Consider the following 25,157-nt stretch of genomic DNA (forward strand, 5'->3'; position numbering starts at 1 on the left):
CGACAATTAAAACGTTTGTACTACTTCTCAGTACTTTTTATAGATTCCCACCATCTCTCCCTGTTTCTTTGGCATCAAATCCCATTGATTTCTTCCTTATAATATATTTTCTAGTCATATTGACTCTTCTATATAAGGTATTCTAGTTGTAGTGGGAAACATTGAACTATTCCAATAAAGCTATTTTGTCCATATAAAATTGATTCATCTGCCTTAGTCAATAATGCATGATTGCTGACAAAATAGAACAATAAAAACTAAAGATAAGATTCAGTGCAGTAATTTGACCTGAGCAAGTCAATCAATGTTTCTGTCACATTTCTCATTTATAGATAGGATATAACACGTGTCTAGTCAAACAAAAATATTCTAAAGGGCAAATAAAATTATGCATTAAGAAGTTCAATATAAAGCACTAGATACATGACAATATGCTATTACTATCATCCAAAAAAGTGTTTCATATTTTTAATAATCCATCAATTTTATTTCAACTAATCCTTTCCTCACTAAAAGTATATATATCTATAATAATTAAAGTAGAAATCAGGGCATGATCCACACTCATAGAACAAGCAAAATTAATTGTCCTACATGAAAATTGAAACCTTTGCTGAACTGGAACCAACTAGCCACACATAAGAAAAAAAAATTTATAATGAAATTTTTTCTTTTCTCATCCCTTCTAAATGCCAATTGATCTGCGTTTCTAGTCCTTATGGCTACTCTAACATAAGGAAATAGAAATAATATAAAAAACAGAAAAAATTGTTAGGAATTCTTATTGTCTTATGCCTAAAATAAAATTAAACTATTAATCCACAGGATAGCAAGTTATAATAAATGGGGGAGGGAAGCTTAATCCTCAGCGAAATGAAATTCTATGGAGTGTGTGAGCTACCTCTCTGTCCAAATAATGAGAGACTGTGGTGATTACGCCTGTGCTGGGATGCACAGAAAAGAGCCCAGGTGACCTTGGTGTCTGCTGCAAAATGCTGTATTTCAGGCGCGTATGCATTGTGTCCGGTTCATCTCTGTCTGTGGCACAAACCACCCCCACTGTAGTACCTACACATTAAAAAATAAAACAGCCTTTAATTTACAGAATTGTTAAATATACTTTCAAAAGTATCTACAATCTTAAAATGTTAACAGTGATGATAGAAACCTAATCTAAAATGTATTTATTACCAGAGTATTATTTCATCTTTAGATAGGACTGAAGAGGATAACTTCAAATTTATCACACATAACACTTTGATGCTGAAAATTAAGGTATACTTTTGCTCACAGTTTAACACATTTGATCATAAATCACTAAATAAATTAGTTAAATGGCAATCAAAATTAATTGGAATACATATGTGCACATATTTCAATAACAAACCTAGATGGAGGAATAAACCATGTCTCCTTAATAATCAGATTTTTTAAAAATTGGACTTTTGATTAATAGCTAAATCAAGACTGATTAGGGGTATGCAGTAATAATATAGATGATCAAGTTGACCTTTAGTAGTCCAGCCTCTCCTTTCTATAATCTTTTTGCTACTTCCTGATTTGATTTGTTTTAATAAACCGGTTTAGTATCACAGCCTTAACTGGTCTGAACCTACTGATAAAATGTGCTTAAAGTACCTTGGGTTAAGCTGGGCATCGAAGTGTTTGTCCTTTTTTTTTCTCTGTTACTGTAAAAGAGAACAGACTCCTCAAGAAAGCCTGAAACTAATTACCCCTTTTTGAAAAAGGGAAAGCATACCCCATTGCTAATTAATTAAAGGCAATATAATGTCAATGTAATGTCATAGAATTGTGAGGCTAAAAACATTGTAGGTCATGTAATGTAATGAACTCCTTTTACAAGTAAGAAAACTCAGAGGGACTTCCATGAGTTTCCACAGTGAGTTAGTAACACACCCTACATCAAAAACGATGTTTTCTATGCTTTAGTGGCCATTTTATTATCTGTGTGTATTCCATAACATCATGTTGTAAACCTTCACTACACACAATAAAATTTATTTAAAAAGAAACAAAACTAGGTTTCCTAAACTCCAAACCAATAATTTTTTTAAATTTTTAAAATTGTACCACGTGAGTAATAAAGAGGTTAACATCTATGACATCAGATTAACAAAGGAAAACATAAAGGGAAAAAGCAGATATAATATTGCAGTGAAGATCTAAGCAACTACTGGAAACTTTAAAAAGCAAATTAGGAAAGTCATCCTTTATGACTGAATCCTCCTTCTTTTAACTTTATTGTGAGGGGTTATTCTCCATATTACAAGTCTCAGAAGCCATCGTAAGTGCCACATTTTAAGGGCCAGGTAAACTAAAATACTTCAGTTTTCCACATGTAAGAGCAAGTGTTTAGAATAGAGAACATTTGATGTAAGTTTCTCTGAAGTTATTCCGGTATTCATTCTAAATTGGAAGTAGTGAGGTAGTAGTTTTAAAAGAAGATAATATAAATAGGAGCATAAAAAAAACTGTACCCTTAGTGGATGTCATTTAACACCTTCCTAAATAAAAGCTCAAAGAAAAAAACTATACCGATTTTAGTTTTATTGTTCATTCCACCCTGCATGTCCTCTCTTGGAGTTGAGAATAATGAAAAACCCACGAGGAAATGAAATAAAATATATAAACTGAATATTACACAAAGCTTGAATAACTGTTAGCTCCCTTTACAGTTAATTAGTATCATATTGACAATGACAGAAACTTCTGTACTATCTGGGCAAGGCACATGTTGATTGAAAGTGATGGGATTAAGTGTTTTCTGGTAAGTAGATTCTAGTTCAGCGTTATCTCAGGCTGATCTGGCCTTGAGTATAAAAAGCTCTATGTCTTTTAAAATGTACACAGACATATTTAAAATGATTCTTTTTATTCTTAAAAGCAGACTTACCAGGTCTACTACTTTCCAAAACTTCAAAATTATAAATTGCTTCTGTGAAAACAGGGTGGTTGTCATTTTCATCCTCTACCCTGATGGGTAGTGGGAGGGGCAGATCTGCTGAATATCCATCTGCAGTTGACGCATAAGCAATCAACTGCAAAATAGCAAAAAGAAAGTTCCATTAATATCAGATCCCGGCAAGACAGAATAAGATGCTTTATCTACTACCTGCCTTGCAAATCTTTTCAATAATAAACTACTTTGAAGTTTTTTTATCCACTGTGTTTTTAATTATCAAAGCACCAAATGGAGAAACACTTTACTGCAAAGAGCATCCAGTATGTGATGGAAATGGCTATCGCAAATAAAACCTAGGTCAGAGTACAGTGAAGTCGGGGCTGACTCTGTCCACTAGACTGAGGAATTAAATGTGAATATAAATTCTCTCTATAATCAGAAAATTATGCTGGAGAGAACAATTAAACTCACTGCAATAGGAAAAATTCCTACTACATTATCTAAATAAAGCAGCAATTCCCAATTTGTCACTATCAAACCCTGTTATTATTTTACCTAATAGACCACATATTTGTAAGAATTTTTCTGACAAAATACATGTACTAGTTTCCCCATTGCTGAGTAAAGGCAATGTAATGTCAAATAGAATATATTTTACTGAACATGTGATTACAACACTGAACTGAAAATTTTCTAAGCAAATGCAAAGCATGTCACATGGGGTACATCAGTTATGTTTGTTTACACAGCATCTCTTCCTTCTTTTTTGTAGGAACAGAATCTCTCTTTCCGAAAATCATTCCATCAGAATCATGGGAATGACACATGACCTCACAGCATTTACCATATTACACTGAAAATTATCTGAGTTATTTGCTATTGACTATAAGCTCATCTATATCAGAATACTGGCTTATTAGCCCTTATTTGAGTTTGGTCTCCCACTTTCACTTTCTTATGTAGTTCTCAGATGTGATCAAATAATCATCTGTGTGGAAGGAAGACAAAAATGGAAGTAAGAACAGTATAGATACAGGATTCTTCCAATCAACTGTAGACATGTCTTGAAATGAGGAAAAGGTGCCAGCAACCAGTAAGAAAGAGAGAGAGATTATCTCATAAGCAAAACCAACTTTTTGGAAATTTACTGACATTTACATCGAAATACTTTGAAATTTATGTTCAAATATTGAACCTCTTTGCTTCATTTCAGGCTTACCTAACAGCAGTTGAGACAAAGAGCTGACCAAGTATTCCAAAATGTTGCACATTCTATTTCCCATTGACTCTAAGATACCCTCTAAGAAGAGAATGCAAGGAGAGAGGAAAGAGTAGCTGGAGTAAGCATCAGAAGAAACATAGTTTAATAATTTAAAGTCAGGCATATCAATAAAAGTCCTACATCAAAAACATCATATTCTTCACGATCCACAGGCCGAGTGCAAAATAGATTTCCAGTGTCTCTTTCTATATAAAACAAATTTAAAGGTTCTTTATCAACTCCACGTCCACTTATTGAGTAGAAGACAGTATAGTTCTGTGCTGCATCAGATTCAACCTAAAAGTAGAAAAAAAATATGCAAAAAAATTAAAACTAAATTCAGTTACAATATTTTTTAAATGCAGCTGATGTATCTTTTTATTTTAAAGAGATAATTTCAAAAGAAAAGGTAGAAAAGAACAATAATAACCATTGTTGGCAAGAGTAAGGCAAACAGGGATTCTCACAGGAAGAAGGGAATCCCAATTGGAATGTACCCTAGGAAGAAAACTGACAAAAATTAAATGAATAAGCTATGAGGATAAACAGGGAAGGATCTTTCTGGCAGAGAAAATAGGAAGTGCAAGGGAACAGGCTGGTGTTTTACCTAGCATGTTCAAGGAGTAGCAAGAAAGCCACTGTGATTGGAGTAGAAAAAGCATGGAAAAAAGAAGTAGGAGATGAAGAGGTAATGAGGTAATAGGGGCCACATTGGAGAATTCGAGGATGCTGGCTTTTCCTTGGAGTCTAATGGAAAACCACTGGAGAATTTAGACAAGGGTAACATCATCTGATTTATATCCTTAAAGGTAATACTTGCTGTTTTGTCAAGCATGACTAGAGGTGGTTGGATGGGTAAGGAAAAAAGCAGGTAGACCACTGAGGAAGTCACTGCAAAAACCCAGAGAAGAGACTGTAGTTAGTTAGGCTAACATGATAGCCATAGGGGTGGTGAGAAGTGGTTAGATTCTGGATATAATTTAAAGGTACAGCCATCAGAATTTGCTGATGAGTTGGATGTGTGGTATAAAGATGGAAGTCAAGGACACTATGTCAGAGGGTGCTAGTATCTCTTAATATCTATTCTGCCCATCTTCCTTAGTATTAGAATTTGTAGTGATCACAAGGTTGTCCAGAAGAAAGGATTTCTCAGTCACCCTTGCAATTAGTTAGAGCCACATGCTAAGGTCAGGACAAGGGAATGTGAACAAAAATGATATGTGCAAAATCCAGTTGTGCTCTAGAAGGTGAGAGAGTGTCTTCTCCCTGTTGGACACAGAGGTGAGCCATCTGGAACCTGCAGAGACAGCCATGCTAAAAAATAAAGAAACCTGGGTCCTTGGTGTTTTTTCAGATTAGAACCTTTTTACCAGATCACACTTTTACAAGAAAGGAATAAACCTCTGTCTTGTTTAAGCCACTAGTAATTGGGATCTCAATAAAATGCACCTATTCCAATAATGTATAATAATACAGAAATCAAAAGTTTAACTATGAGAAGAATAGACATATAGGCTAAATTGAAGCTCAATATCTGTTTCATTTTCCTTCTACAGTGTCCTCTCATAATGTAGATGATAGAAATATTCAAACGAAAATAAACCAAAACCTCCAAATTTTGCAGAATCTCTTGAAACCAGAGTTCTGGATTTAAACATGGACGGTCAGACGTGCTTGAACAAGATTGGAATGCCAAAAGTGAGGTAGGCAGGTGTCTCATTTTTGCTGCTTCTGTTATTTTTGCTGGCATCACAGTTTATGTTTCTTTCTTTCTTTGAGGTAGGCAGGTGTCTCATTTTTGCTACTTCTGCTATTTTTTCTGACAGCTCAGTTCAGATGCATTGGTTTCCTTCCTTCCTTCCTTCCTTCCTTCCTTCCTTCTTTCCTTCCTTTTCTGCAATAGCATATGTACTACTAGATATTCGCCAACTTTGTGTTACAAAATAAGATACAGATCAATCTTTTCTCTGATGCTGGTTGGTGCAGTTCAGAGACTGTTCTGAAGTTTCATGAGGAGGAACATGGCTATGGTGTTTTCCTGACTGTGCCAGTGGCACTTTGGTTCTCAGAATAATGTCTTCTCTATTATGGAGAAAGCAATATGTCCCTTGGTTGTAGATACTGTGGTATAGCTAGCTTGAGGATTTGTTTCTGAAAGTTCAACCTAAAATTTGTTTCTTCAGCCCTACGGACAATTCTGAAAACTCTTTAATAAATGGTAATAAATCCTTATCTGTTAAGAACTTAGAGAGAACTATGTTTTCTGCAGCTTAAACCTTATGAAACACACTCCAATGCCCAGAGAGTCAGAATGATTGAACTCTAATCCCTGCTAATTGAGATGGGAGGCTGTTTTTAAGAGAAATAACAAGCATTTTATTTCCATAAGTTTAGTTTGAAACCCTATTAAACTTCCAAGTGTTAATATCAATTAGATAGTTTGGGCTGGAAATACAAAGTTTTAAGTATTCATGAAAAAAATAGTATTTAGAGTTATGAGATCTGATGAGATCACTGAGAGAGTAAATATCAAGAAACAAGAGGTAAGATTCATTGACTGAGCCCTGGAGCTCTCCGAAGTTTAGAGACTGGGACAGGAGGCTAGGGGGATGGATGAGGAAGATCCAGCCAAACATACGAAGGAGTGATCAATGAAGTAAGTGGAAAACTAGACGAATGGTGTCCTAGGAGCCAAATGAACAAATACTTCAAAAAGGAGGGAAAGGTGAGCTATGTCAAATGTAAATATGTCAAGGAAATGAGGACTAAGATGGTGACTGGTTTTGCAAAGCAAAGGCTAAAACTAGCTATGATTGGTACAGCTTTGGCAATTAGAAATCATTTCTTAATATGCTTCATCAGTGTTCAAGTTATAATATTCATGGAGAATAAACAAATAAAGTTATAATATTCATGGAGAATAAACAAATGTCTAGCACTAGGGTAGAATAAAAAATAAATGTGAATGACTGTGGAAGGATAGTTAAAAACTGAAACAATTAGTACACAGGTTACACCATTAGTATTAAATATCAAGCACACTATTAGAAATTTAAGGGGAAAAAGGCAAGCAAAAGGCCATAGCCCTACTTCAGTAATGGTTTCAATTGTGCATGTTCTATTACCTTAATGAGAAAACTAAACCTGATCATGTCAGTAATCTGCTTAAGAATTTCTCCTTATTATTAAGATAAAGTTAAACTTACTAGTAGAATGCACATAGTCCATAGTGGTTTGACCCCTACCTCCCTCTTCAGCCTCATCTCCCTGCTCCATTCCATCAAACCTTGGAAGACTAAGCCACCCAGAGCTCCTCTAAGGAGCTCTCACTTCTGTACTTTCCTCTTCTTCTGCAATTATTTACCTGCAGAAAAATTTTCCATTCTTCAGGACTCTACTCAGATGTCTCCTTCTCTAAGCCTTCTCTTGCTTTTTACCACCTTACCTCAGGGTTTAATGTTCATCTCATTTGTTACCAAATCACCCAACATCTCTATACTAGAATCATAGCACTCATCACTGAAAATTGTAATTATTATCCTACTTCTGTCTCCTTCACGAGGCCAATAACCCACATGAGAGCAAGGGCCATGACTAAATTTACTTATATCTTTAGTACTTAGAGCAGTACCTCCCGCAGGATATAGTTAAGTGCTCAGTAACTCCCTGCTAAATAAATGAATAAACAAATAAAGATCATTCAATGGCTTTAGGGCCTTTCTCATATTATTAGGTTTTTAGTAATTTTCTTTCTCATTTTACTTTTGTTACACCTCATGAACATCTTTAATCAGATCTGTTTATTTTTATATGTTTAAAGAGGTATTAAATCTCAATGAAACAGACTCTTAGAATTAAAGCAACCCTGACCAGAAAAGGTGTAAACCTACTTGTTGAAGAAACAATGGGAAAGGGCCCAAGGAATTCTCTTGCATAGAGCAAGGAATAGGTGCCCATCTCCTCTTGGCACGCCTGAGAACAGTTTCTCTAGTGTGTCTTGTCTTCGATACCTGAATTTAGAGAAAAACAAATACATGAATAAACAAAAGCATCACAGTCTACTTTGTGTAAAATAGTGGACAGCTCATAAACCTAATCCTTCTTTGGAGTTTCAGTGTCAGGCATTTCCATGCTGGAGCTAAACCAGTTAATAAAGTCTTTCTGCATTAGAAGGGTAAGAAAGAACATATCCAGATTTTAAAGGTTTCAAGAAACAGAGAATTTCTTTTTGTATACCATTCTAACACTGACTATACTTTCATGTTAGGAAAATCACCACTATATTCTTAGTTCTTCTTGCTTTGTCCCAAATGGAGACATAGAACATATTCTGTCTACAACAATCTCCAGATAGCACTTACTTGTTCTTTTAGTTAAAAGCTCATGCCCTTAGGTCAGAGAAAGAAAATGTATGTCCTTCACTGCCATAGTGCTCTATTTACACAGTCTGATATGGTAGCCCTTGGCCACCATAAGTCATGTGATTATTTAAATTTAAATTAACTGACACTAAATAACATAAGAAGCTCTATCCTTTGGTTGCACTAGCCACATGCCAAGTGCAGAGTAGCCATTAATATTGAGCTGTCATATCAAACAGTGCAGATAGTGCCATCTCTATCATGGGAAAAAGTTCTATTAGACTTTTTAGTGATGTCCATCTCATTTCATGATGCAGCAAGGGAGACATTTTATTTCATAAGAATTAATTAATAATTGCATTAAACATTTAGCAAAGTGCTAAGCTGTAACTTAAATTAGCTTTATTATTGATACAGTTAACACAGATTAGATGTAATCCAGTCTAAACCTTTCATCATTTTGTGACTACTTTCATAATGGCATTCCTCACTGTAAAGGTTTTGCAGTAAAAAAATTCTGAGTTCTATAATAGAGGGATAACCAAACTGACACCAGTGCACAAAAGACAATAGTTAGAATGTAGAGGTGGAAGAAGCCCTCACAGAGGAGAAATAATTCAGATTTAATAAAGTAAAACCAAAACCAGAGTTCAACAAGTGTTAAGAAAGAGAGAGAGGGAGAGACAAAAATAGAGTGAGAGGTAGAGAGAAGGATAGAAAAAGGGAGAGAGGGAAGGTGACAGGGAGGGAAGAAAAGGAAGGGGAAAAGGAAGGGGAAGGAAAGGAGAAGGAAAAGGGAAGGAATGAAAAGGACAGGGTAAGAAAATGGAGGGGAAGGAAAAGGGTAAGAAAATGGAAACGAAGTGAAAGGAAAGGAAACAAAATGAAAACAAAAGGGGAAAATACCCTATTTATCCTTGTTTCTCTTTGCAATTTTTAATAAGAGTATTTTAATGAAAAAATGACTGAAAATATTTAATGTACTTTAAATACCTTCTTCTGATGTTCTAGCAGCACAGTAACCTCTTTCTGTGTCTGTTTCCTTTTGTCAGAAAGCCATATGGTAAATGATCTTTTCTTATCAGACAGCGCAACAGCCCTGGCTGTGTACACTGACCCATCATTTAGAACTCTGAAATCAGGATCACTTGACCGGATGAGGTCTGCAGACCTGAAGCACTCTTCCAAATTAACTGCAAGTAAAAATTTCCAAGTTGTAAGGTAAAAACACATGAGAAAAAAAAACGTGTTAAAATAATTTATATAATATTCTTAAAAACCATGAAGTGGGATGAAATAAGCCAATCACTTTGCATTTACCAGATATCTTAACCTGTTTTTTACATTACTTAAAAAATGATCATTTTCTTTCAGTTAACAAATAATTATTGAGTGTATATTTCTATTAAATAAGGTGTTTTAAACCTTTATATGCTTCTAATAGACTTATGAAAATGACCTTCCAATTAAAGATGTGGGCATGTTATAATCATGACAAAACTGAGCAACATGCCCCCAACACACCTGAATAAACATATAGAAGAGTTTCCCTAACAATACAATCTGAGTGTTTAAGATACACCTATATTCAGTGAGAAGCCATGAGCCAAAGAGCAATGGAGTGTATGAGTTTGGTAAAGAGTCATGTTAGAAAAATCCAATCTCCGAAATTTTCTTCCCACTGGCACTTTTCTGTACACAATTTTCCCTGGAGGCCCAAAATACTCTGTGTGTTCCAAGCTTTCCAAGGCCGCACACTGAAACTCTACATGGAGTCTTTCTTCCCTGGGATTTCTGGCCTCTAGTAACAGGTAATAAAATGCATATAAATATCAAAATGTACCTGTCATCCATGCCATTCTTCAACTATTTGTCTTAACATAAGGCAAATGGATAAATTACTACTCAGTTAAGAAAAGACCTCTCAAAGGGTTCATTTGCTGTCCATGAGTCGTGTTTTCACTTTAATTCAAATCTGTCCCAGGTGGAAATATTTAGCAAAAATAAATAAATAAATAAACATCTTCAGGGCTGATGACATATTTCTCTCTTCACATTTTTAACAGAATGATAACTTCTGGTTTACTCCCTGGAGGAACATCCCTTTTTAGTAGATTCAGGCTAACTCCAAAAGGCAAAGGTATTATATCATGCTCTTTCCAGCCTATGTAAACTAAATTTCTGCTTTAAAAAGACTTTTAAAATTTCTCACCTCTGCCAATTATTTTGTCTGCCTCTAGTTTAGAAGGTACATTAAGTATCACCTTTTTGCAGGCTTCACCAGCACGACTGAAGATCTAGAATTTAAAAGGTCACATTAATACAGTAGAAAATAAAGATTAAAAAAAACATAATCATATCAATAGATGTAAAACAAGCAACTGACAAAGTCCAACACCCATTTACAATAAACCCCAGCAAACTAGGAATAGAAAGGAATTTGCTCAATATGGTAAAGTTCATTTATGAAAAACAACAACTAACTTCATATTTAAAGGAGAAAAACAGAATCATTTCTTCTAACATCAGGAACAAGACAATGATGTCTGCTCTGCTCTAACTGCTTCTGTGTGTATGTGTGTGTGTGTGTGTGTGTGTGTGTGTGTGTGTGCGTGTGCGTGTGCGTGTGCGTGTGTGACTGAGTCTCACTCTATGGCCCAGGCTGGAGTGCAATGGCGTGATCTTGGCTCACTGCACCCTCCACCTCCCAGCTTCAAGCAATTCTCCTGCCTCAGCCTCCCAAGTAGCTGGGATTACAGGCGCCCGCCACCATGATCAGCTAATTTTTATATTTTTAGTAGGGATGGGGTTTCACCATGCTTCTATTTAACATTATACTGGAGCTTCTAGCCAGGAAAATTACACAAGAAAATAAAATCAAAGGCATCCAAATTGGAAAGGAAAAGGTAAAATTGTTTCTATACACAGATGACATAAATTTGTAGACAGAAAATCCTAGGAATCCACTAAAAAACTGTCTAAATAAATGAGTTCAGTAAGGCTACAGGATACAAGATGAACATGTGACTGCATTTCTGTACACTAGCATTGAAAAATTTGAAAACTAAGCAAAAAAATTGATTTGTAGCATATAAAGAAGAATAAAATACTTAGGAATAAATGTAATCAAATAAGTATAATATTATACACTGAAAACCATAAAACATTGCTGAAGGAAATTTTTAAAGACCTAGATAAATAGAGAGATAGCCCATCTTCATGGCTATTCCCCAAATTAATTTACAGATTCAATACAATCTGTATAAAAATCCCAGATAACTTTTTTTGAAGAAATTGAAAATTAATCTTTCTAGAAATACAAGTTACCCAAATAAAATTGAAAATGAAAAAAAACTGAAAGACCTATTTACCAATTTCAAAACTTACTACAAAGCTACAATAATCAAAACAGAGTGGTGCTGGCAATAGAATAAATATATAGATGAATGGAGTAGAACTTAAATCCCAGAAATAAGGCCTTACATTTATGATTAGCTTCCAGACATTTCAAGAGAAATAAATAGTCTTTTCAACAAATGGTGTTGGGATAATTTGATATCTTCCTGAAAAAAAAGTGAATTTGAACGCCTACCTCAAACCATACACAAAAATTAACTCAAAATGAACCACAGACATAAATGTAAGAAATAAATTATTTAGAGGTAAACTTGAGAGCAAATCTTTATGATGTTGGGTTAGGAAATGATTTATTATGTACAACACCAAAAATACAGTGATAAAGAAAAGTTCTTAAATAATGCTTATTCAAAGTAAAAACTTCTGCTCTCCACAAAAATGCCACTTTCTTTACAAAAGTGAAAAATACAACAACTCATAGAATAGTTTTGTTTTGTTTTGTTTTGAGACAGAGTCTCGCTCTGTCGCCCAGTCTGGAGTGCAGTGGCACGATCTAGGCTCCCTGCAAGCTCCGCCTCCCAGGTTCACGCCATTCTCCTGCCTCAGCCTCCGGAGTAGCTGGGACTACAGGTGCCCGCTACCACGATCGGCTAATTTTTTTGTATTTTGTAGTGGAGACGAGGTTTCACCGTGTTCGCCAGGATTGTCTCGATCTCCTGACCTCGTGATCCGCCCGCCTCGGCCTCCCAAAGTGCTGGGATTACAGGCGTGAGCCACCGCGCCCGGCCTGAAGAAAATTCAAACGAATAAAGGACTTGTATCGAAAATATTTAAAGAATTCCTGCAACTCAATAATAAAAAGATAAATAACACAGAAAAACGGGCAGAGGATCAGAATAGGTATTATCCCAAAAAAAGATATTAAAATGGCCAAAAAGTAGATGAAAAGATGCCCAACATCATTAGGTTTTAGGGAAATGGTAATCTAAACCACAATGCAATACCTATTTGCTAGGATAACTAAAATAAATAAGACAGAAAATAACAAGTATTGGTGAGGATGTCGAGAAACTGAAACCCCTACACTTTGCTGGAGGAAATGTAAAGTGGTGCAGATACTTTGGAAAACAGTTTTGCAGTTTCTCAAAAAGTTAAACGTAAACCTATATGATCCAGCAAGTCCACTCTTCCTAAAAGACATAAAAACCTAAGTCCACACAAAAACTTGTCATGAATATTCACAGTACATACCATTATTCACAATAGGCAAAAAGTGAAAACAATCCATACAACGAAATGTTATTCAGCTCTAAAAAGTACTTTATTAAGTTCTATGCATGCTACAACAAGGATAAACCTATAAAACATACTCGGTGAAAGAAACTAGATACAAAACAACACATACTGTACGATTTCGTTTACATAAAATGTCCACAATAGGTAAATATACAGGAACAAAGTAAATTTCCATGGGAAGTGGTTGTAAATGGGTATGAGGCTTATTTTTAAGGTGATGAAAAACTTCTAAAATTAGATTATTGCACATTCTTCAAATTTACTACAATTCACTGAATTGTGCACTTAACAAAGGTGAATTTTATGGAATGTAAATTATATCTCAATAATGCAGTTTAAAACAAAAAAGGACACTGTCATTGATCAAAAAAATGACTTTCCACAATCACTTCTAGAAATTGGCAGTGAAAGGCCTTGTCAAATTTATAAATTCACAGAAGTAATTTCAGCACAATAAAGTGGCATAATAACCACAAAGAAGTATTTTATTTCTGATATAATCAAATATGAAACAGATTTCTGCACAAAATTAAAATACTTTAACTCACGGTAACATAACTGTAAATATATGTATATACAAATATATACATTATCACAATTATTCTAATATGTGATCTAAAATTATCGTACTTCTCAAAGATCCACCTTACCCTCACTTAAATTAGTCAGAATAAACAAAAATATCACAAAAATATGGACAAATAGGGCCAACATGTAACAATGCTGTTTAATTTAGATATAATAAGCCAAGAAATCATTTTCAGAAAATAATAACCAGATTGCAAACTGGGACAATGAAGTAATAAGTCATTTGCCCTTTAAAAAAAACATATCATACATATGCTTAATTTAATATTTTCCTTAAGTATATAGTTGTCACCTTGGGATGAAAAATGGTTTCCTTCAACAAACCACCCATTGGTTGAAATATATCATAACTCTGTAGTTGTTATTTTTGAATCCCCAAAAAAAAGCTATGCCCAATATATATTTACTCACATCTCTTTTCAAAATATCTCAGTTAACTGTGAAATATTTAAATCAATTAAATCATAAATGCTCAGTGCCCATCTAGATCTTTAAAAAAAATGAACATTTTGCAATTTTTGTTCTATTTTTTAATTAAAATTTACACACGTAGCTAAAGTCTTATGCTCTATTATATTTCCAACTCTTCTCCAGGGAATAGAGTTTTCAGAAGTTAGAATTTATACTTCCTCAGTAGGATTTTATACTTTCATTATATAGTATATGCTTGTGCCCATAAAATATAAGCTGGTTTTGGGTAGTATCTGTTTATATGCATCCTTTTGCAGTTTGCTTTTTTCATCCAACAGTATGTTTGAGATTTTTCCATAAATGTACCACAGTTTATTTTTAGTCATTCTCCTATTGATGGTTATTTAGATTGCTTTTCATTTCTTCTATTACAAATGACACTATATGAACAGCTGTGCCTAAAGCGGAAATTACTGTGCCATACATGAACAACTTCAATTTTATTAGCTATTGCCAAGTTGCTCTACAAAGTACTAATATCAATTTCTATTAATGCCCCTAGCATATTAAATCTCTCTATTTCCCATATCCTCCCTTACAAATAATTTTATGACTTTTTCCATGTTGCCAACCTAATGGCTGTTTTAATTTGCATTTTATTTATTTGTTGTGAGATTGACTGTATTTTCTTGTGTTTATTTGCCATTTATCTTCTGTAAATCATCTATTCTTCCTCCTTTAATCACTTATCTATTGTTTGTGCTTGTTAAATTTTTTTCTTGTAGGTTTACTTAGTTTGCTTTTTAACTTTTATTATGAAATCTTCTGATAAACAGAGTGCTTCAATTTTGTTTTTTTCATTTGACACATCTTTATTAAAATTTTCTGTATACCAGATACTCAAAAACCTCAAAGTTCCCCATTGCTCAATCTTTTTTTTTAAAGTAGTATTTTTGCTCTTTTTAGACTTTGACTCTCAAAACAATTTTATGATCAGTTCCCCAAGTTCTGTAAAAATTTATTTTAGGATGTTGATGAAATTCCATTTCCTTTAAATATTAATTTAAAGAGGATTTGACATTTAGGGCTCTTGAGACTTTCCATCCATGAACATGATTCATTCTCACTTACTTATGAATTATATTTCCTTTTTGCTTTCTTTCTTCCTTTTTTTTTTTTGAGATGGAATCTTGCTCTGTGGCCCAGGCTGGAGTGCAGTGGTGCGATCTCAGCTCACTGAAACATCTGCCTCCTAGGTTCAAGCAATTCTCCTGCCTCAGCCTCCTGAGTAGCTGGGATTACAGGCGCCTGCCACCACCCCCAGCTAATTTTTGTATTTTTAGTAGAGATGGGGTTTCACCATGTTGGACAGGCTGGTCTTGAACTCCTGACCTCGTGATCTGTCTGCCTCAGCCTCCCAAAGTGCTGGGATTACAGGCGTGAGCCACCGCACTCGGCCGAATTATGTTTGTTTTTCAATAAAGCTTTGCAATTTTTGCTAAAAAGGTCTTTCACATTTTTTGTTACATTTATCTTAGATACATTGATTTGTTGCTGTAATGAATGGGATTCTTCTTAACATATTTTTGAGTTGTCCCTTGATAATATATAGAAATCATTTAAAAATATTAAGCTTATATCCATGAAACTTGCTTACTTTTATTAGTTCTAGTATCTGTTAATAGATAGTGTTGGATTTTCTATGTAGTTAATCCTGTCGCTGGCAAAATGACAACTAGGTTTCTTTTCTTTTAATCCTACAAGTCTTTCATTATTGCTAATTTTTATCTGATATGCTTGTTAGGACCTCTTCTGGAATGCTGAACAGAAACACCTGTACTGACCATTATGGATTTGTTTCTAACTTAAAGAGAATATTTTTACAGTTTTGCCATTAATTATGAGTCTTTTTCTTTTTTCCTTGTAACATTCATTCATTCATTCATTTTTGTTAGATATGTTTCATTACATTAAGAAAGTTCATTCTTGGCCAGGCGCAGTGGCTCATGCCTGTAATCCCAGCACTCTGGGAGGCCGAGGCAGGCGGATCATGAGGTCAGGAGTTCGAGACATGCCGGACCAACATGGTGAAACCTCGTCTCTACTAAAAATACAAAAATTAGCCGGCTGTGGTGGCACAAGCCTGTAATCCCAGCTACTCAGGAAGCTGAGGCAGGAGAATCACTTGAATCTGGGAGGCGGAGGTTGCAGTGAGCCAACCTCCAGCCTGCACTCCAGCCTGGGGAACAGAGCAAAACTCCATCTCAAAAAAAAAAAAAGTTCATTCTCTACATTCTTAGTGTGCTATGAATTCTATGAATTCTTTTGAAATGAAATGTTTCCACTTTCTTGAAATAATCAGTTTTTCTCTGTTGATACATTTTCTCTGTTGATACTATGTTAAAATACAATAATAGATGTTCTTATGTGAACCCATGTTTCCTTTCCTGATAAGCCTTACAAGAACATAAAATATTTATATCTTACAAATATATTGGTTTGTTTTCAATTTATCTCATTTCACATATTTGTCTGTAAGTGAGATCAGGCTACTATTTTTCAACTTCATACGATCCTCATAAAATGAGTTAAGAAGAGTTCTGTATTTTTTTGTTCTTTGAAACAATTTACATAAAGTACATTGTTCCATATAATTCTGAAAGAAATAACTTATCACAAACCTGGGCCTGGTGGATCTAAAGAAGTGTGTGTGGAGCTCTCTAACTTCTAATTCAATTTATTTAATGGTTACAGGTCTATTTAGATTTTGTATACCTCCTCAAGTCAATGTTGGTTATGTGTATTTTGTAAGAAGTTGTCTGTTTTGTCTGTATTTTCAAGTTAATTGGAATTATCTATTCATGTTATTTTACTTTTTAACATCTGTTCTCTCCAAAACTATACTTCCTTTTCATTCCTAATATTGTTTTATGTATGCCTTTTCTATTTTTGACTTGCTCAGAGTAGGGTTTGTCTATACTCAAGAGGTTTAGTTTAGTTGATACCCTCTATTGCTCATTTCTTTCCTTTTTAAAAAATGTTCTTCATAAAATATATTATAAATACCAAAGATTACATATAGCATGTGTGTGTTTTAATAAATAATAAAATGAACATTAGGGTATTCACGTTCAAGGTTAAGAAATGGAACATTACTAATATTTTCAAAGTTCCTAACTATATAGCAGTAGCTCATTCATTTTCTTTGCTGCATAGGATATTATTAGAAAGAATGTACAGTTAATTCATTAATACAACTTTTGAAAGGGATAATATTCAATAGACTTCAGTTATAGTATGTTTCTTGAAACTATGAAGTCATTTGATATTATGTTTTTGTGAGGTTTGGATGCCTTATTGAAAACAAAATAAAGTAAAAAATGTAAAGACACTAGTATATTAATGATGAACTAATGACCTTTAAAGATATTTTATAATAAAAATAACTTCTGTATACAAGAATGCCCATATTTTAAATTAAAATATAACAAACTTTAAAGATGATAATATAAAGTATTACCTACTGCAGCCTAAGCAAAATAGTTTTGTTGCATTTTATAGTACTAAGCAAATTGTATTAATTGCATGATAGAAACCTTATCAGACGAATCATTAAATCCTGATGGAAAAATTTAATGCCAAAGAGAGAACGAAAATTAAAGGTGTTATCTGCAGTTGTTTCACTTTCATGCTGTTGTTTAATTTTATAGTAAATACACAAAGTAGGCTTTCTAAAATGACACCCTACTTCAGTAGAGAAGAAAAAGAATGGAAATTTATGGAATGTCTTAAATGTGAAGAGGATCTTCTGGATTAAACACAATAATTACAGAATTTTAAACTCTTCATTTCTCCTGTGGCCATAAGTCTTCTGCAGAATGGAAATATTACCTTTCAAATTCTTACCACTTCAAAGGTAAATTGCAAGATTTACTGCTCTACATTCTCAGTACTTAAATGAGTCTAATAAATTTGTTTCCACCCAAACTCATTGTAAGATGGGAATTCCAGCTATCATACTTTCAGCGGAAAGTATGATTAACTACAGGTCACCACAGATACCATATATGGTACAGGACTGCCATGGGAATTACAACAGGATCCAAAAATGTGCATGAGCTTACATTTATTTATTCAGAACGTGCTTCCGTATCTAGCTGTATCTCAACAGGAACATCAACAATCTCCTTTTAATAAGGTAGCTGATAATGCATCAATCTAAATATACGTATACTATAATTTTGACTTTTTTAAGCTTGCAGTTTTAAAACTAGTTTTCATCTACTTCCTTTATTTGCCTTAATCTTCTTGTCACAAATGTAAAAGCCTTTAGAAATTACTATACTCCCTTTTAATTTAAAATGATGAATATATCAAATATTACCAAGAGCAAAAACATCACAAGTTTTTCTGGTAAGGACTCACATTATTCACATTAACCCTAACAAATATAAAAATTTGGATGCCTATTTATCAACATAGGTTGCAGGCAGAGTTCATATACTCCAAAGAGGAAAAGTACAGATTTGAGGGGAGTTATTGCAAACGTTTCAACTATTTTAGTTCCTTTAGAAGAGGAGCCCTTTTAACAAAATGATGGATTAGCCGTGTCCAAGTATGTGCCATTTATAATGTATACTAGATAACATAATCTTAAAGTGGATTTGATAACAGTATTAACACATATTTTTAAAAGAATCTTATTATTTGTAACAGGCAGAAGACAACTGATCTCATGTAAATTAGTTTCCACCATCCCTAACAATTCTGGTTACATTAAGAGGAAAAAACACTTTCTGAGGCAATCAAAAACTTACAATAGTGAGTGAGATGCTCTGATATACTTCTTTTTTTAGTATCTCCCTGTCATTTTTTTCTTTGTGCGTGTGATTATTAGAAACTGTATTTACACTTCAGAGTGTGGTGGGGCACACGGTGGGAAGGAGATACAGGAAAAATGCAGAATGGGAAAATTCCCTCAACCTGTTGGGCTGCTTACTGGGAAGACTAAAATTTAACAAGTCTCAGATTCTTGTTAAAGACTTGCTTTGAAAAGCTGTCTCCTTAGAACAAACAATGTTTTAAAGATAAGTAATGGTTTAAAGATATCCATTAAAGTCTCTATAAAATGAAAAATGTTTCTAAAATGCCGTGTCATTAATATTATATTGAAAAGTTGAGAGTCGTATGAGTCAAAAGGAAGGAAATACATACATGAGATGGTCAAGAGAAGTGTTAATTTACCCATCCGGTCCGAAATTGCAAGTGTTTGTAAACTGACAATTGCAGATGAAATAGTCATTTTCTGTGCACTTTCCGGTATTTAAGTCTCCAGATACAGCATTTAACCTAAACTCAACGGAATTATTTTAAAAAAAAAAAATCTTAAACGAGTATGTGCTAGATCAAAGCTGAAGCTTCCTCCGTTTAGATTTACGCGCACCTTCTTCCTTGCCACAGCTCGACACCCCCACCCATGCCTTGCCGGGAAAGCTCCTGGTCTTCCATGGCCTCTGGGAGCCTCGAGCGAATGCGAGAAATTCTGAGAGCAGCACCCGTAGTTTCGTTCCCCATCCTCAATCCCTTCGCAAAGGAAACACAAAACCCCAAATGCATGCTTGTAAACTGAAAAGCTGAAAATGCTTTTAAATATATTACAAAAGAACACATTCTCTAAGCCGTTTCCATTTGTAGTCACTTCATAAGCTCAGATACTTTGTTGGAACAGTTCCCGGGCAAATGGATGCGCTTATTTGTCCAATTCCTTCTCCATAAACATATCGTAGATCATAACTACCAATCCCATATTCATACCTCGCTGACCTTAAGGGAGGACAACCCTTGGACCCACTCCCACTTGCCAGGGTGGAGGGCCAGGAAGCAGTAAGAATCCGCGAGACCAGACTCGGCTCACTGCCGACGCGGGTATAGACCTCGCTCCCATCGGACCCCATGCGCATCCATGGATGCGGGTAAGTCGCGGGTCCGCGGCTCCTTTCTGGGCGTGCGGAATGAAACTCTGTTGAAGCCTGAAGCTTCGCGTGTAACCGCGCCGCCAGAGTTCCGAACACTTCAAGTCTCCCGTGTTCTCAGAGCATCGTCTCTAACTTCCTCTCCTAGAGGATTTCGTCCTGGGCGGCAGGTTTCCGTAGACTCGAAACCCCAGGCTGTGCTCCGGCCGCGCAGTCCTCCCCGGAGCCGGAGTAAGTACGACGCAACCCCACCGCATCCATCATCCCCCACCACTGTCACCCTCTACCCGCCTCCACACCTCGGCAGCATCCCCAAAACACAACACGACCCCAACCCCCATTCTGGCCCGGTCTTCCCACACTTTCGCGCCCCCGGCACATCCCGCCCCCAGCTGGGTGGCTGGCGGGGGTGGACCGCTTGGGTGAGCTTCTGAATACCCTTTAGGGGAGATACCGAGAAACCCACTTCTCAGGGGCAGCCCCACCAAGGGACCCAGGGACACAGCCCCGGCTCCACTCACTAACGAACCAATCCGGGTCAACTGCGACCCAGAGCTGGGGAGGGGGCAGCCCCTAAATCCCTTTTCAAGTCTGTGCTTTGAGCTCTCAGGGATCCTCTCCACCCAAAGGCGCCCTCCAACCACCATCACCACCAGCTCCACCACCTGGGGAGAAGCGTGAATCCCAACCCCCTGCCCAACCCGCGACGGCGCCCGCCAGAGCGCAGCGAAGCCTGAGCGCGACTCAGAATTCCAACAATCGAACACCTTGTCTCAAAACAAAAAGCTCAGTCCAGAGTCGACCCGCAAACACACGTTTTCTCTCCTCACTCCTGCAGGCCCGAACTTGGGGCTGCTACCAGACCCGCAGCATTGATCTGAGCCGCGGTTGTCACGTTTCGGCCCGCTTTGTCCCCAGCTCCGTGCAGCGTCCAGGGCGGATCCACCCCCGTCCCCACCCCAGCCCTATCCGGCGAGATCTGGCTTACCACGAGGGTCAGCAGCAGATGCAGGCAGACGGCTCCGCGCACGGAGCGCCGGGGCCCAGCGGCGGCCATCGGGATGCCGGGCAGGGCCAGGAGAACGCGGGCGCCGGGAGGGTGCCGAGAGCGAGACCTGCCGAGGTGCAGGGCGCGGGAGGTGCTTTTCTCGCCGCTGCTTGTTTTTAAGTGTATTTGGCCTCTCTCAGGCTTGCCTGCCCGGGAGCAACTTCACTTCTGAAACCGGATTGGACCCAGAGGACGCGGAGAGGCCACTCCTTGTTATTTCTCAAGTTTTATCATCGCCGGCGCGGCTGAGGAGCTGCCCGAGCCTGCCCCTCTGCTCCCCAGCAGCCACCCGGGCGTTCGCGCTCGGGAAAGCGGTCTCTGGCGCACCCTCTGCCAGTTCTCCCACGCCCCTCGGCTGCCCCGCGGCGCTGCCGCCCCGCCCGGCCCGCAGAGAGGCCCTGGCAGCCCAGATCGTCCCAGGGCGGCCCCATCGCCGGCGCTGCGCGGTGCATCTCAATGCAGAACCCCAATCCGCCCGCAGGGATCCCTGCCTCGACACGGGCTCTGCTGGATGCCAGGAACACCCTTGTCATTGGATCAGCGGATCTCCCCTTCGACGTCTGAACAAATTCTGCCAATGTTTTCAGATTAAAGCAAAATACATGTACTGTATTCTCTCCGGATTTGACTAACATGACAAAATACACGACAGAAGGAATTTATCCCAGATGGCATGATAAACAGTTTTTGGCATGTCAGAAATTAAAACCAAATTTAAGAAATTCTAATCTAACCATTTTTACGCACCCAAAATATGAGTGATTACACTCAGCGCTCTATTAACTGTCAGTTTGGGGGACTCATATGAACCTTCTAAAAACGACTTTGTTCTTAGATGTGAATTATTGGTTTACTACTTACTGGTACCAAAATGAAATTTTTCAGGTGGTCAAAGGAATATCTACCACACAAAACCTTCTAAAACGAGGCTTACAGATTCTACATCATGCAACGACTATTTATCAGGGCCCGAAGTCGGCCAAGCTTTGTGTGAGGGCATGGAAGAAAGGAAATGCAGAAAATCTAGTTCCTGTCGGAAATAATTCAAAGTCAGAAAGGGACGAAAGACAATCATTCCTAGCCCAGTAGGCTACACTTTTTAATAGAGATGTCGTTTGTAACACCAGGGGGACATCCTCTTATTTCTCCCTAAACTGAATTTTAAGTTCCCCGAGTTCCCATCTACTGGATTCAGGAGGAAATCCCTCTCAGACATGAGATGCTACTCCTCGAAGTCCATTCAAAAGTTGCAAGGTCGGGAATTTCAGACAGCCAATTAATCATGAAAGGGTGTTATGACCTTCATTCATCTCACTCTGGCTCAAGTCTAATAGACTCCTCGTCGTCTAAGCCATGTATTCCCTGAAGTCTGGGGCTTCCCTGAAACTCATGAGGCTCAGCTTTAAGGGCTCAGACACTCTAAGTTGAGCTTCCCAGTGTGAATCTCCCAGGCACCCGTCAGTGGAGGTCTCTGTATGTAAGAGCTCTTCCAGTCTCAGAGAAAGTTCTCCAAACTTCTCTCCACTCCAGGGTTTTCACCTCCCATCCTCCACGTGCCTCCAGCATGACCTCAGAGAAAGCTTCTCAAAGTCACTTCCAGCCCCCCAGCCCTCAGAAACTCAAGTAGAATGGTTTTCTTGAACTTAGATGAGTAAAGGAGATGGCTAGCACCAATCTCCCTCCCTCACCACTTTGAATTCACTGTTAGAGTGAAGGGTTGAGGTGTTAAGGCATTTTAGAGGAGAGGATCTAACTTAGCTGAAGAAAGCTTTGAAGAAGCAAAATGTTGCGATAAGCCCAGCAAAGAAAAGGGAAAGGGTAGGAGAATGCTTCAAGATAACACAACATCAACAGGACATGAGAAGCTCTGGAGAGCCTTGTGAGAGTGCCCCAGGGTAAGAAAGCAGAAAGGGGTTGGTTCAGAATGGTTACATGCAATGGCTGGGAATTCGGTTAGAAAGATGGTTCATGACAAACCATGCTGAGGAATTTAATTTCATCCTGACAGAAATGGAGAACCATCCATTCAATGTGTGAAAAGGGTTAGTAACTACTGTTACAAAATTGTCACTTTTGGTGAGTTTGCACATATGAACCCATTTGTGCTGTAATATGGCTTTCTTTAATACCTAGGGAATGAAAGACTTTGAAGTGTTTGTCTTTATTCTAACTATTCTTAGTTTTTCTATGATTTCAACTCTATCTTCAGATTTATGAGAGTCTGGCCTGGTTAGGACTGTCCTTTGAAAGACTAAAACTCTAAAATTGCTATCCCCTGATTATTTTGACTGTGCTGTGTAATAGAGGATATTTATTGTTAAGCCTACTGACTAATATGACAATTGCTGTGAGCTTCCATTTTTAGCTTCCGCAAAATAAAAGTTGTAGGAATCTGCTTTAGAAAAACTCGAAGAAAACATATTATGGATATTTTTAACTTGTATTGCAAAATTCTAGGTGCAATACGAACATTAATAACTGAATGTAGTATTAGTAATGATTTTGGAATTTCCTGTTTGTCCACCATGAGTATATTAATCTAAGTCCTAATAAAAAGCAATGCATTTTTATCATATAAAGAAGAATCTTTACAACATAAATATGACTTGAGGATAAATTAAATTGCTTATATTTTTTGCTTATATTTTCCCATATAAATTATGATTTAAAATAGTTTGTTGATTTTTTTTCAAATATGAGCTTCAGTTTAGATATAGTTAGAACTGGATGCTTTCTATTATAAAATTAATTTTAAATCATCATGAGGTATCATAAAGCATAAAGAGTTTTCTGAACTGTCTTTATCTTAATACCCTATCCCTCAAACTGCAAAGTCAGTTGGAAGTCACTGCTAAAAGGATAATGAGCCAAAATGGGAAAATAATTTATTATTTTCCCTTGTTATGTTCTTAGTTTGAAGGGTAAGAGCAGCAATAACAAAGGATCAAAAATGGGAATTGACTTTAGACTAAAGAACAAAACTTCAGAAATTCAGGTGAATTGCAACATTTTCAGCAGAAAGCAAACAAGATAATGAAGAAGAGTACTCTTACTCTGGACCTATGAGAAATCTCTGACTACGGAAGAGCTAACTAGTCTTAGGAGGTGGGACCTGACCTCTGGCCCACGAGCCAGGCTGCCTTGCACAACTCAGCACCAACAGGTGCTAGTCTAACACACCTACTCATCTCAGTGGCTTACCTGGACGGTGACATGGCAACTGTAGGTTTCCTCAAACACTCCTACGAAATACCGCCAGGACAACTGTACAATGTTTGAGACAAACTTACGAGAAAGAGCAGAGGAATTTATGAAAAAAAAAGCTTGAATTAAAAACAAGTAAAAGATTTGTTTACACCTGTGGCACAAAAATGAGTTCCGCCATGGGACATGAACTCAGAAGCATGTTTGGAATATTATTTAGGATAAATAGCCGCAGTGTGACTAGAGGTTCTGCAGATTTCCCAGAGCACTATTGAGAACAGCCACCACATTTTGGTCATTTCAAAAGACTGCTGGGGCCTTGAGGATAACAGAAGGTTTAAGTCAAAAGTCAATTATAAATATCGCATTGCTGCCCACTACCAGAGCCGTCCCAGAATCCCTATGTGCCTCCTTCTCACCTATTTACCCATGGCAAGCACCTAATTAGCACTTGGTGCTAATTTCAATCCAATGAGAATGCTACTCCACACAGCAATGAGGACCTCAACTCTAGATCCAAATGACCCTTGGCCTCCAAGGACATTTCCCCTTCCCCCTGTTCTGCTGTGGGTCTCCTCACGTCCTCACTTCTCATCCTAGGATTCATATCTCCCCAGAATGACTGACAGTAGGACTATCCCTTCCTCTCAGGAGAAAGCTCACGCCCATCCACAGAAATGTGACCTTTCACTATAACCTTGGCAACAATCATTCAAAAGTCGGACATTTGTACATT

General features: G+C 37.1%; 1 protein-coding gene and 1 long non-coding RNA gene across 3 annotated transcripts in view; one reads left to right on the plus strand and one right to left on the minus strand.

Annotated features, from left to right (window-relative positions):
* DSC3 (desmocollin 3) overlaps positions 1–21,308 on the minus strand; it is a 53,378-nt gene extending 32,070 nt beyond the window's left edge. For both annotated transcript variants that reach the window (NM_001941.5, NM_024423.4), the window contains exons 1-7: positions 21,158–21,308; positions 10,758–10,842; positions 9,539–9,738; positions 8,075–8,194; positions 4,326–4,481; positions 2,915–3,059; positions 902–1,068 (exon numbers count right to left, since the gene is read on the minus strand). In NM_001941.5, coding sequence (NP_001932.2) covers positions 902–1,068; positions 2,915–3,059; positions 4,326–4,481; positions 8,075–8,194; positions 9,539–9,738; positions 10,758–10,842; positions 21,158–21,226 — 942 coding nt within the window. In that variant the 5' untranslated portion in view covers positions 21,227–21,308. The remainder of the gene's footprint in view (positions 1–901; positions 1,069–2,914; positions 3,060–4,325; positions 4,482–8,074; positions 8,195–9,538; positions 9,739–10,757; positions 10,843–21,157) is intronic.
* LOC124904345 (uncharacterized) lies at positions 20,099–23,792 on the plus strand. The gene is made up of 2 exons (XR_007066445.1): positions 20,099–20,400; positions 21,008–23,792. It is a non-coding gene; the product is annotated as an uncharacterized LOC124904345 (long non-coding RNA).

Source organism: Homo sapiens, chromosome 18, assembly GCF_000001405.40.
Source record: "Homo sapiens chromosome 18, GRCh38.p14 Primary Assembly".
NCBI lineage: Eukaryota > Metazoa > Chordata > Mammalia > Primates > Hominidae > Homo > Homo sapiens.